The sequence below is a fragment of the Homo sapiens genome, chromosome 17 (genome assembly GCF_000001405.40).
Source record: "Homo sapiens chromosome 17, GRCh38.p14 Primary Assembly".
Taxonomy (NCBI): Eukaryota; Metazoa; Chordata; class Mammalia; order Primates; family Hominidae; genus Homo; species Homo sapiens.
The window spans coordinates 1,698,859-1,716,283 of NC_000017.11; the positions used below are offsets into that span (position 1 = coordinate 1,698,859).

Here is a 17,425-nt window from a genome sequence, read left to right on the forward strand (position 1 = left end):
TCTCGCTCTATCGCCCAGGCTGGAGTGCAGTGGCACCATCTCGGCTCACTGCAAGCTCCGCCTCCTGGGTTCACTCCATTCTCCTGCCTCAGCCTCCTGAGTAGCTGGGACTACAGGCGCCCGCCACCATGCCCGGCTAATTTTTTGTATTTTTATTAGAGACGGGGTTTCACTGTGTTAGCCAGGATGGTCTCGCTCTCCTGACCTCATGATCTGCCAGCCTCGGCCTCCCAAAGTGCTGAGATTACAGGCGTGAGCCACCGTGCCCAGCCTAGAGTCTGCCTTTCAAACTGAAACACCCTGACTTATATATATCACTTCAGAGGCAATTTATCCGACTTGATGGATGTTTAGTTGTCAGCTGACTCCTACCTTTCTACCTTGAAATTTCTCCACTCTGTGGCCTTTCTATAAAGAAAGAGGCAAAATAGTGTATAGGAAAGAGCCCTGAACCAAACCAAAGACCTCGATTCTGATTCGGGCTGTGCTACAGACTAGCTGAGTATGCTTGGATAAGTCACTTAACCTCTCTAGGCTTCAGTTCCTTCAATTCTCTGCAAAATGAAAAGAACAGACTGGATAATCTTTTTTTTTTTTTGAGATGGAGTCTTGTTCTGTTGCCCAGGCTGGAGTGCAGTGGCGCGATCTTGGCTCACTGCAACCTCCACCTCTGGGGTTCAAGCTATTCTCCTGCCTCAGCCTCCCAAGTAGGTGGGACTACAGGGACCTGCCACCACACCTAGCTAATTTTTTTTTTTTTGAGATGGAGTCTCACTCTGTTGTCCAGGCTGGAGTGCAGTGGCACGATCTCAGCTCACTGCAAGTTCCGCCTCCCAGGTTCACGCCATTCCCCTGCCTCAGCTGCAGCTGGGACCACAGGTGCCCACCAACACGCCCGGCTAATTTTTTTGTATTTTTAGTAGAGATGGGGTTTCGCTGTGTTAGCCAGGATGGTCTTGATCTCCTGACCTCGCGATCCGCCCGCCTCGGCCTCCCAAAGTGCTGGGATTACAGGCGTGAGCTACCGCGCCCGGCCTCACCTTAGTTATTTTTGTATTTTTAGTAAAGACAGGATTTCACCATGTTGGCCAGTCTGGTCTCAAACTCCTGGCCTCAAGTGATCCGCCTGCCTCGGCCTCCCAAGGTACTGGGATTACAGGCATGAGCCACCATGCCCCAGCCTGTTTGTTTTTTCATCTGAAAGATGGAATGAGAACAGGTGCAGTGACTCATGCGTGTATCCCAGCACTTTGGGAGGCCAAGGCAAGAGGATCACTTGAGCCCAGGGATTCCAGACCAGCCTGGGCAACATGGTGAGACTCCCTCTCACACCTATAATCTCAGCGCTTTGAGAGGCCAAGGGAGGAGAATTGCTTGAGGCCGGGAGTTGGAGACCAGCCTGGGCAACATGGTAAGACCCCATCTCTGGAAAAATAAAAAAAGATTTTTTAAATTAGCCAGGCATCGTGGCACACACCTGTGGTCCCAGCTACTCAGGAGGCTGAGGTGGGAGGATCGCTTGAGCCCAGGAGGTCAAGGCTGCAGTGAGCCATGTTTGTGCAACTGCACTCCAACCTGGGTGACAGAGTGAGACCCTGTCTCAATTTAAAAAAAAATGGCTGGGCGCAGTGGCTCATGCCTGTAACCCTACCACTTTGGGAGGCTGAGATGGGTGGATTGCTTGAGCCCAGCAATTTGAGACCAGCCTGGGGAACATGGTGAAACCCTGTCTCTATTTAAAAAAAAAAAATGTATCTGGGTGTAGTGATGCATGTCTGTAATCCCACCTACTCAGGAGGCTAAGGCAGGAGGATCGCCTGAGCCCAGGAGCCAGGAGTTGGAGGCTGCAGTGAGCTACGATTGCACCACTGTACTCCAGCCTGGGTGACAGGGTGAGACCCCGTCTCAAAAAATAAAAATAAAAACAAAAGATGAGGTGAAGCTCTGTTGTGTGAGATTAAATGGGATAATGTGTAAAAGGTGCCTGATGGCCAGGCACGGTGGCTCACGCCTGTAATCTCAGCACTTTGGGAGGCCAAGGCAGGCGGATCACGAGGTCAGGAGTTTGAAACCAGCCTGGCCAACATGGTGAAACCCTGTCTCTACCAAAAATACAAAAAAATTAGCTGGGCGTGGTGGCGGGCGCCTGTAATCCCTGCTACTCAGGAGGCTGAGGCAGGAGAATCTCTTGAAATCGTAAGGCAGAGGTTGCAGTGAGCTGAGATCACGCCACTGCACTCCAGCCTGGGCAGCAAGAGCAAAACTCCGTCTCAAAAATAAATAAATAAAATTAAATAAATAAATAAATAAATAAAAGGTGCCTGACATGGGGAAGGGGCACGACAAATGTTCGGCCGAGGATGCTCCTAAATAAATATTCATTTCAACACAAGAGCTCCTCTCTAAAGAGTAACTTCCCTTACATAGTTTTTTGCAAAATGAGGACTTCTAATTTTCAGCCCAACAAAATCCAGATTTTATGTGATAAAGTTTTGACAGTTCAGTTATGAAGTTTTCTGTTGACTCAGGATTAATTTGGCTACAAGATTCTTTTGGTTTCAACCCTTGGCACTGAAAATCATTCTGCAGGCCCGGCGCAGTGCCTCACGCCTGTAATCCCAGCACTTTGGGAGGTGAGGCAGGTGGATCACCTGAGGTCAGGAGTTCGAGACCAGCCTGGCCAACTTGGTGAAACCCCATCTCTACTAAAAATATAAAAATTAGCAGGGCGTGGTGGCTCACGCCTGTAATCCCAGCACTTTGGGAGGCCGAGGTGGGCGGATCACAAGGTCAGGAGATCGAGACCATGCTGGCTAACACGGTGAAACCCCGTCTCTAGTAAAAATACAAAATATTAGCCGGGCGTGGTGGCGGGCACCTGTAGTCCCAGCTACTCGCGGGGGAGGGGGGCGGGCGGAGGGGAGGCTGAGGCAGGAGAATGGCATGAACCCGGGAGGCGGAGCTTGCAGTGAGCCGAGATCGTGCCGCTGCACTCTAGCCTGGGTGACAGAGCGAGACTCCATCTCAAAAAAAACAAAAAAAAAGAAAGAAAAGAAAATCATTCTAAACTCTGAATCCGGCTGGGTGTGATGGCTCACGCCTGTAATCCCAGCATTTTGGGAGGCCAAGGTGGGCGGATCACTTGAGGTCAGGAGTTCGAGACCAGCCTGGCCAACATGGTGAAACCCCGTCTCTACTAAAAATACAAAAATTAGCCAGGTGTGGTGGTGCACGCCTGTAGTCCCAGCTACTCGGGAGGCTGAGGCATGAGAAACGTATGAACCCAGGAGGTGGAGGCTGCAGCGAGCTGAGATTGAGCCACTGCACTCCAGCCTGGGTGGCAGAGTGAGACTCTGTCTCAGAAAAAAAAAAAAAAAAAAAAAGATGAGGTTTTGCTATGTTACCCAGGCCAGTGTTGAACGCCTGGGCCCAAGCCTCAGCCTCCCAAAGTGCTGGAATTACAGGAATCAACCAACTCGCCTGACACTGGATTTGCTTTTTTTATTTTTTCGAAACAGTCTTGCTCTGTCTCCCAGGCTAGAGTGCAGTGGTGCAATCTCAGCTCCCTGTAACCTCCACCTCCTGAGTTCAAATGATTCTCCTGCCTCAGCCTCCCGAGTAGCTGGCGTTACAGGCGCCTGCCACCACGCCCAGCTAATTTTTATACTTTTAGTAGAGATGAGGGTTCACCATGTTGGCCAGGCTGGTCTCGAACCCCTGACCTCAAGTGATCCACCAGCCTCAGCCTCCCAAAGTGCTGGGATTACAGGCATGAGCCACTGCACCCAGCCAGGAGTTGCTTTTTGATTATAGAGGGTATCAGGACACGTCAGGGTGGAAACTTTCCCAAGGCAAAGCCTCCACAATCTAGCATCGAATTGTAAATCAGGACACCATTGGAGCCAAAAAGTAACTCAAAGTAACCACGCTCATAAGAGATTGATGCAACTAATGCAATTATTTGCATAGCAATTTATTAATTTATAATCAGGATAGTGTTTCAAGGCCATAAAATATCAATGTATCCCATCCAGAAAAGCCCCTTCCCTGTCCTGGAGGACAAAGAAATCATTAGCAAGTAGCTTGGTAGACATGGAGTCCGTCTTGAGGACCATTTCCCTGGGCCACGGTAAAGTCTGGCGAAGCACCACTGTGCTAAGCAGACTCCTACCAAATGGAGCATCTGGCAATCTCTGCTTTTTTTTTTTTTAACCTCTGCATTTTTGAACGTCCTTTTTTTAGGGTCTTAATTGACCATTCTTCTTTGATTCACATCATCTTTATGTTGCCCACACTCCAATTCTCTGCCTACTTACTCAGTTGTAATCACAATCCAGTCCTGCCTTCCTCAAGTTTCACTGGCTCACCATGGTAGCAATTCGTGTGTGGTCCCAAATTCTTCCAAGCGTCCACTACATCCTGCCCCACCTGGGAGCTGACCTCACTCTTCCTGTATGGGCTTGACTAGTTAATCCACAGAAACAGCCATGTTTCCCTAATGGTCAAGTTCTTGGGCAGCCTTCATAGACACTATCTATCTATCTATCTGTCTATTTATTTATTTATTTATTTTTTAAGACGGAGTCTTGCTCTGTCACCCAGGCTGGAGTGCAGTGGCACGATCTTGGCTCACTGCAAGCTCCGCCTCCCGGGTTCATGCCATTCTCCTGCCTCAGCCTCCTGAGTAGCTGGGACTACAGGCGCCCGCCACCACGCCCGGCTAATTTTTTTTATTTTTAGTAGAGATGGGATTTCACCTGCCTCGGTCCCCCAAAGTGCTGGGATTACAGGCGTGAGCCACCACGCCCGGCCTCATAGACACTATCAAGTATTACCAAAAGGGACACTCACTCAAACCATCATGAATGTATACCAGTGGCCAAAGAAAAGGTGTATGACTTAGAATCAATTCATATCAACCTCAACAGATATTTAAGGAATAGATTCCTCACATGAGTTTGTCATATTTCTTTTTCTTTAAAAACTCAAGGCAGACAACATTTTTGTTAATCAAGGCATTCAGTTAAGATGGCAAATTGAGTTTTGCAGATATGACTTTTTTTTTTAATTAAAAATTTTTTTTTGGCCGGGTGTGTTGGCTCACGCATATAATCCCAGTAGTTTGGGAGCCCAAGGTGGGCGGATCACCTGAGGTCAGGAGTTTGAGACCAGCCTGGCCAATATGGTGAAATCCTGTCTCTACTAAAAACACAAAAATTAGCCGAGTGTGGTGGTGGGTACCTGTAATCCCAGCTACTAGGGAGGCTGAGGCAGGAGAATCACTTGAGTCCAGGAGGTGGAGGTTGCAGTGAGCCAAGATTGTGCCACTGCATTCCAGCCTGGGCAGCAAGAATGAAACTGTCTCAAAAAAAAAAAAAAAAAAAGAAGAAAAGAAAGAAAAAAGAAAATTTTTTTTTTTTGTAGAGAGGAGGTCTCAATATGTTGCCCAGACTGGTCTTGAACTCCTGAGCTCAACCACTCCTCCTACCTCGGCCTCCCAAAGTGCTGGGATTACAGGCGTGAGCCACCATGCCCAGCCAGCAAACATGACTTCTAGAAGTACAGACTCTGACAAAATTCTGCATTGTTTCTCTAGCTCACTATCTATACCTTTGCCTCTTGGGTTTTTATCTAATTACATTTAAATGCTCTGCTCTTATTTTCTGCTTGTGTTTAGCTCCTTCCAACTGTGTTTTCCTCAGTCTCGATGTATTTTCATCCTTTGCGCCTGTTTTTATGACTCTATGATGGAGACTTCTCACAATCCCTCTCATTTTTTTTTCACACCTGTATTTTTCCTCCTCTTTTCATTTCTGGGTTCCTGCCTCTTCTTTGTTCTTTGGATATTCAATTTTTTTTTTTGAGACGGAGTCTCACTCTGTCACCCCTGCTGGACTGCAGTGGCACTATCTCGGCTCATTATAACAACCTCGGCCTCCCAGGTTCAAACGATTCTCCTGCCTCAGCCTCCTCAGTAGCCGGGATTACGGGCGCCTGCCACCACGCCCGGCCAATTTTTTGTATTTTTAGTAGAGATGGTGTTTCACCATGTTAGCCAGGATGGTCATCTCCTGACCTCGTGATCCGCCTGCCTCGGCCTCCCAAAATGCTGGGATTACAGGCGTGACCCACCATGCCCAGCCTGGATATTTAAATTGTTCTGTGCTCTCCTCCTTTTTTTTCTCTCTGTGATTCTCTTTGTCAGCTCCTTTGCCTATATTTGCATCTCAGTTGACACCCCTGATTCTGACTTGTCCTTATCTTCCTACCAGTCTCTGCCGACCGGTTACTGTCAGCCTGTCTTTAGGGTTTGCGCTGCAGCTGTTTGTCCTTTGTCTTTCTGCCTGCCTCCAAGTCCCCATATCTCCTGGTCTCTTCTGTCAGTGAATCTTCCCACTGACTGCCTCCTCCGCCTTCTGCTTCTCAGCTCCCCGGACTCGTCCCCGCTCTTCTCTGTTCCCACCTCTCCTCTTGCTCTTCTGATCTCTCTATCTGCCAGTATTTCCTCCATCACTCCTGAGCCTGGGTGTTTCTCCTTGTCACTCACTCTATTTCACTGTCTAGACTCTCTGTGCCTTTCAGCCTTGGGGTCTCTTCTTGTCGGCCTTCATTTCTATTTTTCTGGTCCTTTTTGTTTATAACCCTTTTATCAGTTCTGTGACTTTGGTGTCTCTCAGGATCTATGACAGCCTTTCTCCATATTTCTGCTAGGGCCTGTCTCTTTTGCCCTCCATCCTTCTTTGCCTCTGTCACCTCTATGTGAATAATCCTTCTCTCTTTCTATCTATCACTCAATCTATGTATGTCTGTCTCTGTCATTCTTCGTATCTTTCTGTACCTCCGCTTCTTAGCAAGGTTTTTGTTTTGTTTTGTTTTTTTTTGAAGACAATCTTCCTGTCTCTTGCTTTTGCTCATGTAGCTTTTCTGTGGATGGCTAAGGGTTGCCTCTCTCAGTCCATTGTTTAGTGGAACAGCAGACTTAATCTGCTGGGCACTTCCCGTCACCTCGATGTTCTGGGAAGGAAGGGGTCTTGTTCAACAGAAAAAAACGCAGCAGAAGCAGCAGGGAGGAAGAAGACTTTATGAATGTATCTCAGAAAAGTCCCAGCTCTTCCTTTTTTTTTTTTCTTTAGAGACAAGAGTCTCACTCTGTTTGCCCAGGCTGGAGTGCAGTGGCACGACCTCGGCTCACTGCAACCTCTGCCTCCTGGGTTCAAGCGATTCTCCTGCCTCAGCCTCCTGAGTAGCTGGGATTACAGGCATGCACCACCATGCCCGGCTAATTTTGTATTTTTAGTAGAGACAGGGTTTCACCATGTTGACCAGGCTGGTCTTGAACTCCTGACCTCAGGTGATCCTCCCGCCTCGGCCTCCCAAAGTGCTGGGATTACAGGCGTGAGCTGCTGCGCCCAGCCAGAGGGCCAGCTATTCCTTTATCCTCCTGCAGCCTTCTCTCACACAGTCTACCTCTGCCCTTGTTCTTCCATGAAAGCCTGGGCCTGGGAAAACTCTGTACTGGGCACCTTTCCTTCTGTAATTCTAGACTTCAGTGCCGTCCTAAGAAGACAAACCAGCCCTGTGTTCATTCCTCTAAGAATCCGAATTGTCTTTGAAAAGTCAAAAGGGGTCGGGTACGGTGGCTCACGTCTGTAATCCCAGCACTTTGGGAGGCTGAGGTGGGTGGATCACTTGAGTGCAAAAGTTTGAGACCAGCCTGGGCAACATGGCAAAACCTGGTCTCTACAAAAAAATACAAAAATTAGCCTGGTGCAGTGGCGTGCACCTGTAGTCCCAGCTACTTGGGAGGCTGAGGTGGGAGGCAGGAGAATTGCTTGAGCCTGGGAGGCAGAGATTGCAGTGAGCCAAGATCAAGCCACTGCACTCCATCCTGGGCAACAGAGCAAGAACTTGTCTCAAAAAAAAAAAAAAAAAAAGAAAAGAAAAAAGAAAAGTCAAAAGATACTAAAAATAAAAATAAAAATAAAAGGCTAGACACAGCAGGACCAGGGTTAAGGAGAAAAACAGGAGTGTGCGCCTGTTCTCACGTCTGTAATCCCAGCACTCTGGGAGGCCGAGGCAGGTGGATTACTTGAGGTCAGGAGTTCGAGACCAGCCTGGGCAACATGGTGAAACCTCCTCTCCACCAAAAAATACAAAAATTAGCTGGGCTTGGTGGTGCATGCCTGAAGTCACAGCTACTCGGGAGGCTAAGGCAGGACAATCACTTGAACCCAGGAGGCTGAGGTTGCAGTGAGCCGAAATCGTGCCACTACACTCCAGCCTGGGTGACAGAGTAAGATTCCGTCTCATAAAAAAAAAGAAAAAGAAAAAGAAAAACAGGAGTGTGGCTTTGAGAACCAGAAACATCAGCAGCAATTGCTGTGGCCCAGGTTCTGTCTCTTGGCAACTATCACGTCCATCTCTGCTGCTACAGATAGCACCTCCTCTACCTTCCTCCCACTGCCAGAATTTGGTTATAGGTGAGATCTCTTTTCTCTCTGTCCCCACCCGCCCCATACCAGATCTCTCTGATCCTAGTGGGACTTCACCTTCCCCCATCTGTCCCTGGGTTAAAGCAAAGAGCTTCTGTCTCCACTGGCAGTTTCTTCCAGCTGCATGCCTCCTGCCACCCTTTACTGATAGCTCTAGCTGTACCTCTTGAGTTTATTTGCTGGAAAGGATGCTCATCTGATGACGGATTTCAGTGAACAGAAACCCAGGTTCCCACCCATCCAACATCAGCATTTCTTCTTAGATCCGAGGAAGGGGAAGGGATGTGAGTTAGCTGGAAGAGAAACTGAGATTCTGATGAGCAAGTCTGGCCCTCACCCTGATGGGGGACTGTGCATGGAAGACCCTCATCTCCTTGTCCTGGCCCCACCTCCCCCAGCGAGGGGCCCATGGCTTCTCTCTAGTCTTTCAGGCTGAGAGTCGAACTGTTGCTGGTGACAGGTCCATTGTCACGACGTGTCCTGGTCCCCCTGGTTTTCTCATGGCCAGGGCTGGGTGGATGGGGTCGAGACTGTAGGACATCATTGACCAGAATACGGATCCCCAATATGATGCTCATGATGCCCACAGTGACCAGCCCAATTCCACCCAGGGTGACCAGAGCAAGAGGAACCTGGTGGTGCTGCCGGAACAGCCACAGACTCATCCACCCCAGCGGGACCAGGCGGAAGAGGGCCAAGGTGGCCAAGGAGGCCCAGCTGGTCACGCTGAAGGCCAGGGATGGGGCCTGGCGAGAAAGCAACAGCAGCTTCCGCAGGTGCAAGCAGGCAGAGTTCAGTTCCAGGAGCAGAGACACCATGGAGAAGCCCACGTAGTGGCCAGACAGAACAGCGGTGCTGAGGCAGCTCACCACCTGGGAGCCAGGGTCACAGGTCAGAGGAACCCCATGACCTGCCAGCCATCATGTCCCAATAACCCAGGCCTGAAGAAAGAGGCTTCCACGCAGTCTGTGGGGCTCCCCAAACACCTGACCTTTATGCTTTTACCTTTATCCTGGGGCCCTGAGCAGCCTTGAAACAACCCTTCCATAGATGGAACCAGGCTTGGCCCAGGGAGGGGCTGTCTCACCCCCTAATACCCCCTTAACCTCCCATTCCTGGGCTTGCTTGCTTTTTTTTTTTTTTTTTTTTTTTTTCGAGACAGACTCTCACTCTGCCACCAGGCTGGAGTGCAGTGGTGTGATCTTGGCTCACTGCAACCTCTGCCTCCTGGGTTCAAGCAATTCTCCTGCCTCAGCTTCCAGAGTAGCTGGGACTACCGGTGCGCGCCACCACACCCAGGTAATTTTTGTATTTTTAGTAGAGACGGGGTTTCACTGTTAGTCAGGATGGTCTCGATCTCCTGACCTCGTGATCCACCCGCCTCGGCCTCCCAGTGTGCTGGGATTATAGGCATAAGCCACCGTGCCTGGCCTAGGGCTTTCATGCCCCATACCCACACCCTATACCAGGACACCCCCTTCTCAGAAAAGCTCCATATTCCACATTTCTGTGATCAGCTGGACACCTGTGGGGGCACCCAAACTCCTTAGGCTCACATGGTGGGTGCCCTGGCATGGTGGGTGCCCTTGTATGGTGAGTGCCCTGGCATGGTAGGTGCCCTGGCCTGGTGGGTATCTGGACTCCCCAGCTGTGGCCAGCAGCCACCTCCTCCCCCTAACTCAGCCTAAGACTGGGAGCCAAGCACCAGCTGGGGGCAGAGACTGTGGGAAATTATAGGACAGCAAAATGAAGAGAGGGCCGGGGGCGGTGGCTCATGCTTGTAATCCCAGCACTTTGGAAGGCTGAAGTGGGCGGATCACCTGAGGTCAGAAGTTCGAGACCAGCCTGGCCAACATGGAGAAACCCCGTCTTTACTAAAAATACAAAAAATTACTTGGGCGTGGTGGCGGGTGCCTGTAATCCCAGCTACGTGGGAGGCTGAGGCAGGAGAATTGCTTGAACCCAGGAGGCGAAGGTTGCAGTGAACAGAGGCCGAACCACTGGACCCCAGCCTGGGTGACAGAGTGAGACTCCGTCTCAAAAAAAAAAAAAAAAAAAAAAAAAAAGAATGAGGAGAGACTGGGAACCTCGGGCTGGACAGGGCTCCCCTCCTCCCTTCCTGTCTGGCTTCTGCCCTCAGAGTCTCACCACCAAATGATGACAGAGAAGATCCCAGGTCTTGCCCAAGGTCTGGTTCCACAGCAGGTCAGCTCCGTCTGCCAGGAAGTAACCTGTGGGCATGGGGGTAGGGGTTAGGCTGCTCCAGAGCCCGGGCAGCTTAGAGAGGATTTCCAGCCCCCCCGCCCCGCCCCTCTCCCAGTTCTTAGTTTTCCCTTGGTAAAGCCTTCAGGAACGTTTAACCCCCATGGGGGCGGGGAATGGACCTGGAAGGACAGCAGAACCTGCCCCCCGCCCCATCCCCACCACCGGCCCAGCCTTCCCTGCAGACTCACCCACAGACACAGCCACCAGCACCAGAGCCCAGCGCGGGTGGCCATGGATGGGGTCGGCGGCCATCTGAGGGTACAGTGACAGGCTGGGGGCATGGGGTGGGGACATGGGGGGGGGCATGGTCAGCCTCTCGAGGCCCCGGCCGCAGTCTCCCTGTGCGCACCCCCACCCCAGTCTCAGCTCTGGAGACGCCCGGCGGGTCTCCCGGCCTCAGCCTCCCACCCCTCGCCCTCGCCCCGTGCGCCTCGAGCCCCCAAGCCCGCACCCGAGCAGCGCCCCGGTCCCCGAGAGCAGGCTGTGCGCCAGGGAGACGCAGAGGTTCCACCACTGCCAGCGGTCCCGAGCGGCCGATTCCGGCGTGGGCAGCCGCCGCAACCCCCAGTGCAGCCCCCGGAACGCGAGGAAGGAGGCGCCGGCCACCAGGAGCCCCGTGGGCGCCATGGCCTGGCGGTTGGGGGGTTGCGGGGAGTCCGGGTCGGTCCCCTCGGCGCCCGCGCTCTCGGCCGGGACTGGGAACCCGTTTCCCGGCAGGGCTGGGGCCCCGGCTCCCCTCCCCGCCGCGCCTTTGGGATCAGCAGGAACTTTTCCCCGTTCGTCCACGCCCAGTCCCTCGCCTGGGCGGTGATTGGAGCAGCCGCGGGGCCGCCGCCCCCGGAGCCTTGGCCACCGATTGCGTCTTGCTCCAGCCGGGGGAGCGGTTCGGGGGCTCCGGGCAGTAGACCATGCCCTGGAGCTCGGGGGGCCTCCGGGATGTTCGCCAATAGGGGTCCTCCCCAGCTCCAAGCGTCCTGAAGCGCTGGAGTTGCAGACCTGGGTCTCCAGTCTAACCTCAACTGACACTCCCGGGCCCCACCCACGAACCTTGACCTCTTCCCGGCTCCCGCGACTTTCACCTGCTGAGCGTCATCACCACCCACCGCCACACCCTGCAAGGCAGAGGCTAGCGCAGCCCACTCGTACCTGCCCGAGCCTGGCCGCCGCCCCCACTTCCCTCCCCGCGTCCGTGGTGGGGACGGGGTGCCCCACTTTCTTGGAGCCACCCCTTCGGCCTCCTGAGGTTTCCACGCCTTTACCATATCCCGGCAAACCTGTAATTCCAGCAGTTCTGCTCCCCCTCCCCCACAACCCCCAGGAGACCCCATGTTGGAGAAGCGACCCACTGGGCCCCGCCCCGACCCCCAGCATTGTTTTCGGCCCTACGGAGGAGCCTCATTAGGAAGAGGACGCAAAAGGGAATCGCTGGCCCCCAGTCTTGAAAAGCACTTCCTTCCCCAAGGGCTTGGTACCCGTTGGGTGGGTAGAATATCTTCAATCCGAGGGCAAGGAAAGGTAACACAGGGTCCCTTCAAGGCTGGGACAGAGTCAGAAGAGAAAAACAGACCTGTCCTGCTCTTAGTAGCAGGGCGGTTAGGATTCCAGAACCCTCCAGCCTTAAGAGGAAGAGCCTCCCCCAGCCCCTCACCACCTGAAGAGCCCCAGGTTGCACTGCTTTCCTTCCACCTTACTCCACTCCACCTCTTCAGCTGGCAGACAGTCAGCAAGTCAGAGCTGTTTCCTGCAGGCTGAGAGGGAGGATTCCAGCTACTTCAAAGAATTAAGTTCATAAACCAAGAGGTGCCCCAACCAAACCTTCTCACCAAAAAGCTGAGGTCTTCCCTTCATTCTTCTACCCCCACCTCTCCAAAGGTTTAAATAATAACACTGATCTCTTAAATTATATTATATGAAATACAAAATGTGGAAAATTTGGAAATTACAGAAAAACCAAAGATGAAAATTACAGTGACTTTGTTCCACCATACAAAGATAACCACTCAACATTTTTTAGTATGCCTTCCGTCTTTTTTATCTGCTCTACGTATACAAGCATACACCCATATTTTAAAAAACAAAATTGAAATCACATAACATGCACTATTTTTACAACCTTTTAATATTCAAGGAGCATTTTTCTTTCAGTCAGATGTTCTTTTACATGACTTTTAATGTCTGCGCGGTACTCCACCATCTGGATGGAGATACAATAATTTACTTAAGCAATCCCCTATTGCAAACTTTCGTTACAGCAGAAAAGGAATAAATTCCCAACCAAACCATTGCTTCCCATTTTTCTCCATTGCAATGCTGGGATGAACATCTTATCACTAACTAAATCCTTAAGTATTTTCTTAGGATAAATTCCCAAAGATAGAATTCGTAGGTCAAATGACATGGAGGCTTTTAGGCCACATGACACATATCACCCAACTGTCATCCAGGAAGCCTGCACCGATGTATACTCCCACACGCAATGTATGGGAATGTTTTTTCAGTAGTCTCTTTGCCAATATTGGGTCTTATTTTTTTCTGTTATGGTTTGCTAAGGGAAAAATGCTTCCAGCTCTATTTGCCTTTCTTTAATTACTAATGAAGCATACTTTTTTTCATGGTTTTATCCATTCAGATTTCTTTTATGAATTTCCTGTGTGTGTCCTTTCGCAGATGGTTCTTGGTCCTTGAGGCTGCTTATATAAACATTACAGGCTGGGCGGAGGTGGAAGTAGGGCGGTGAAGCCACAGGGCACCGCACTATGGTGCCACATCTCGGAGGCAGAAAGCCTGGAGAGAAATGGTGATCAAAGTAGGAGAGGGCTGGAGGCTCGCCGTCAATGGAGGCTGGCTGCCCTCCCTCCTCTTGGGGTGCTCCTGGCCTTTAGGGGCTCCTCTGCTGGATGCCCAGGTAGGACCCTGTGCTCTCCAGGCCTGGTCCTTCACTGGTCTCCATATTCCCAGGCTGCCTCTCCTCACCTCTGCTCCATGATGGGTGAAGATGGCAGAGGCACATAGCGAGGGCTGGAGGGAGATGCTGTGGCCAGTGAAGCAAGGAGAAAGTACGGAGGCAGTGTCCAGGGACAGAGTCACCTTTGTTGCAGCCTATGAGTCTATCCCCTGCTTCTCTACCACTGTCCCACACGCATCCTGCCCCTCAGCTTGGCTGCAGAAGAGCAGGGTTCCACGGTCTACTCTTCTCCACATCCTTGAGTTTTTCACAAGCGGAGGACAAGATACAGCTCCCTGCACATCTCCTCCCACCAAATCGAACAGACACAGCTTCCTGTAGCCGCTAGGTGAGAATGGATCAGGGCTGGAGGTGGCAGGTTTACACTCACTGCCTGATATCTGGAAGGAGGTCACATCCCACAACCCACCTCCCCTACTTGCTGCAGGGGAGAATTTCCTGTCTGCACAGGCCTGAGCTGGGGATCACATACCACCTTGGAAAGCAAAGTGAGGAAAGAAACAGAGTAGCAGCAGTTAGAATCCCACCAAGGGGCTGCTGTCCTGCTTTGGATATCAGGGGAAGCCTTGGGCCACCCTTGCATGGGGGGAAGTCACGGAGAGGCGAGCTCTTACTAGCTCCTCGCATTGGTCTAACTCTAACCCCCTCCTCCAGCTTCCCATTCCCCACCCAGCTTCTGGGTGATGGTATCAGGGATGGGGGAGGGACAACAGCTTCTGTGAAAAGGTGTTTTGTTTCCACCCACAGCAGGGGGAGAGCCCGGGTTCTGAGTCAACCCAGATGGGCTTCTGATTCCCTCATGCACACTCATCTGTGTGACTGCCCATCTCACAGGTGGAGAAACTGAGACAGGAGGTCTAAGGGTCTCAGATACAGGTAAGTGCCCAGGAATCTAGAGTCTGGGCCAGCCTAAGGAAATGCAGGGAAAAGTAAGAGCAGAAGGATGACTCCTCACGCCTGGGTTTAGTATCACTTTTCCCTGAAGAGTGAGCTTACTTTTGGACCTCATCTGGAAAGGCCAGTGGGGAAGAATGAAAGATACGGAAGGAGGGTCAAGAAGGAAGTCGGGGAGACAGAGTGTTCTCTCCACTTCTTCCCACTGTCACACAAAGACCAACTAACCTTGGGTTGTTTGAGCCTTCTACTCCTCAATCCAGCCAGTGTCTCTAATCTAAAACCGCTCCTTGCTGGGCCAATCTGGGCAAAGGCTCTCCAACTTGCCCAAAACGTATCATCCACCCTGCTGTTCGGACCTTCCCAGCCCATTTCTGTCACCTTCCAGATGATGGGGAAAGCAGCTCCTCCTCCTCCTCGAAGCCAGGGGCAGAGGGCAACAGTTCTTCAACTGGCAGCTTTAGCTGGGTCAGGACATAAAGCTTGCCACTGAAGAACTACTGCGGCTCAGCCAGGTGAGGGCGTGAGAGGAACAGGCTCCTAAGGGAAAGGGAGGGAAAATGGGAAAGATCTGAGCAGGGCATGTTGCTGCAACGCTGACCCACTCGCTGGCCATCAGGGTCCTGCCCCAGTAGACCTCTGAGATTCTAATGCAGGGCTGCAGCTCTGATCTGGGCCCGCGGAAGCTGTTAACCTCGCTGAGCAGCAAGAGGTGGCTGTAAACAGACTTCCCTTGCTCTTCTTTCCAGAACTGGAGTCTAGAGAAACCCAGTCCTGCTCTCACCCTCCCCTGCCCTAGCGGCCCCTGGGGGCCCAGCCTCCTCAGCATTCAGACAGGGTGGGGCCCGGGACCCTGGACACACCCCACCAGCACGCAGGTACTAGAAGTGTGGTACCTCAGGTCCAGAAATGTGAGTTCAGTGATCAGCCCAACTGACTTGTTCCCAGGGAGTTCAGCTGGAAGGAGAGTTCTGGGGGCCTGGATTGGGGAAGAGTGAGGAAGGGAGGAGGCCTAGCGTTTGAAAGAAGGTCAGCAGAGGCCCCCGGGGCTGTGAGGGGCGGACAGGGGACCACAGGCTGGAGAGGAGGGAGGTATCGGCAGGGTGGCCGGGGCTGTGAGGGGCGGGCAGGGGACCACAGGCTGGAGGGGAGGGAGGTATGGGCAGGGTGGCTGGGCAGCTTCCCCAGGACTCTCAGATGCCAGGCATTCCGCTTGCGCATTCCGGGTACATCTGGTATGAATTCCAGGCTGTCTGCCGGCCCCTCCATGTCTGAACTTTGTTCCAAGTTCCAAGCCCCGCCCCCACAGTTCCAACGCATGAATCAGCAGGAAAAGCCGGGCCCTGCAGCATGGCCCAGGGAGGGGGCTGGGGGCGTGGCAGGCTCGGGGGATGTGAGCTGGGGAGGGCGGGTCCGTGCTGACACTCAGTCCAAGGGCATGGCCCACGCCAGGCTGAGGGGCCAAGGCGGTCTTGCCTTGGAATTTCTATACTCAGAGGGTAAGAAAGATTGGGGGATACGGGGTGCGGTTCAAATTCCGAAACCCTCTTGGGAGGCATGAACTTTGTGTATCTTCCTTCCCCTGGGTGACCAGTCCAACTCCGTCCGACCTTCCTCTGTCTGAGATAGCTCTGTTCAACCCAGAGGACTCAGCAGCTGCTGAGAGTCTGTGCCAAGCAGGTGCCCTTGGCTGCAGGGCGGGGTGGGCCCAGGGCACTGACCCTCTGACCAGCTGCTCCATCAACCCTCTGGCACTCTGACAGCTCCTAGCCCAATCTGACAGCCAGGATGACAGGCCAAAGGAGTTGGAGGCTGGAACCAGGGCCGGAGGGAGGTGGGGGTGACAGCCTCGCCGGAGGCCATGGGGAGGGGCCAAGAGTTGGCCGAGAGGTGGGGAGAGAGGCAGCCCAGTGATGACTAACCCAGGCGCCCCACCCAGCCAGCCGGCTTCCCAGGCAGTCAGGGCCAGGCCTGGGCTAGGGGCCTCACAATCGGACAGGCTGGGGGGAGGTGCAGAGGTGACCTTCTCTCGGCCCAAGACGGCCAGTTAGTCTGGGGAGCGGGGGTTAGAGTTTCCAGGCCCTCCTCTTGCCCTCTTCCCCCCGCCCAACCACGGTGAAACCCTAACCTTTGGGTTGCATAAGGCCCCGGCACCGCCGCCCCCTACTCCTCTCCCCTCCCCCCTTACATAACATCCCCTGGAGAGAACGAGAGGAGGGGCCGGCCCGCCCAGCGACCCCTTCCCTGCCAGGGCGCTGAACTGGCCCTGACCCAGTGAACGCCGGCAGAGGCAAAGCACCTCCTCGCCGCCCGCTCGGGGGGTCCAGACCCTCCCCAGGCTAGATGGCCGGCCCCTGTATCCTCAGACCGGGGGCCGCCGGGTGAGCCGCCCCCGGCCCTCCGGCCCCTCGGCTCTCCCCCCGCCCCCCGCCACTCCGCCAGCCCTTCCGCCACGACTCCCGTCCCAGACTCTTTCCTCGTAGCTCCTGACACACTAACCCGGCCAGTCCAGGCCCCTCTCCCCGAGGCGCCCCTGCCCCCGCCGCCCCTTCTCCTCCCGGAAGGGCTGGGTGTGGCCGCCCGGACCCCACTTTCACCCTCCATCCCGTTACCGCGGCTCCCCGCTGCGTGACCGGGTCGCCAGCTCACACCCACCTGGTGCTGGGTGTGGGGGTTGCTGCACGAGGGGGAGCAAATCACTGCGTCCGCTCCCCACGGCCGGCGGCGCTGTCTCTTCTCGGCACCCAGCACACACCGGCTCCAGGCTCCGATCAGCTGGCGGCGTCGTGACGCACGAGCTGCGAATGCA

The 17,425-nt window shown here is 53.3% G+C and overlaps 1 protein-coding gene, 1 long non-coding RNA gene and 1 other non-coding gene across 6 annotated transcripts; all 3 read right to left on the minus strand.

Moving 5' to 3' along the window:
* Nucleotides 1-3,957: 3,957 nt before the first annotated feature.
* On the minus strand, nucleotides 3,958-11,519 carry TLCD2 (TLC domain containing 2). Its single transcript, NM_001164407.2, has 4 exons — nucleotides 11,209-11,519; nucleotides 10,946-11,028; nucleotides 10,641-10,723; nucleotides 3,958-9,364 (listed from the first exon to the last, which is right to left on the minus strand). Exons 1-4 carry the CDS (start codon nucleotides 11,382-11,384, stop codon nucleotides 8,912-8,914), a joined length of 795 nt encoding a protein of 264 aa, NP_001157879.1. The 5' UTR covers nucleotides 11,385-11,519; the 3' UTR covers nucleotides 3,958-8,911.
* Nucleotides 11,520-12,645: 1,126 nt separating this feature from the next.
* Nucleotides 12,646-17,352, minus strand: MIR22HG (MIR22 host gene). 4 transcript variants are annotated; one of them, NR_028504.2, is made up of 4 exons: nucleotides 17,272-17,352; nucleotides 15,513-15,595; nucleotides 14,845-15,156; nucleotides 12,646-13,541 (listed from the first exon to the last, which is right to left on the minus strand). It is a non-coding gene; the product is annotated as an MIR22 host gene (long non-coding RNA). The 4 variants fall into 4 exon arrangements; NR_028505.2 differs by lacking the exon at nucleotides 15,513-15,595; NR_028503.2 differs by lacking the exon at nucleotides 15,513-15,595 and having other exon boundaries at nucleotides 12,646-14,037.
* MIR22 (microRNA 22) lies at nucleotides 15,045-15,129 on the minus strand. The gene has a single exon (NR_029494.1). It is a non-coding gene; the product is annotated as a microRNA 22 (primary transcript).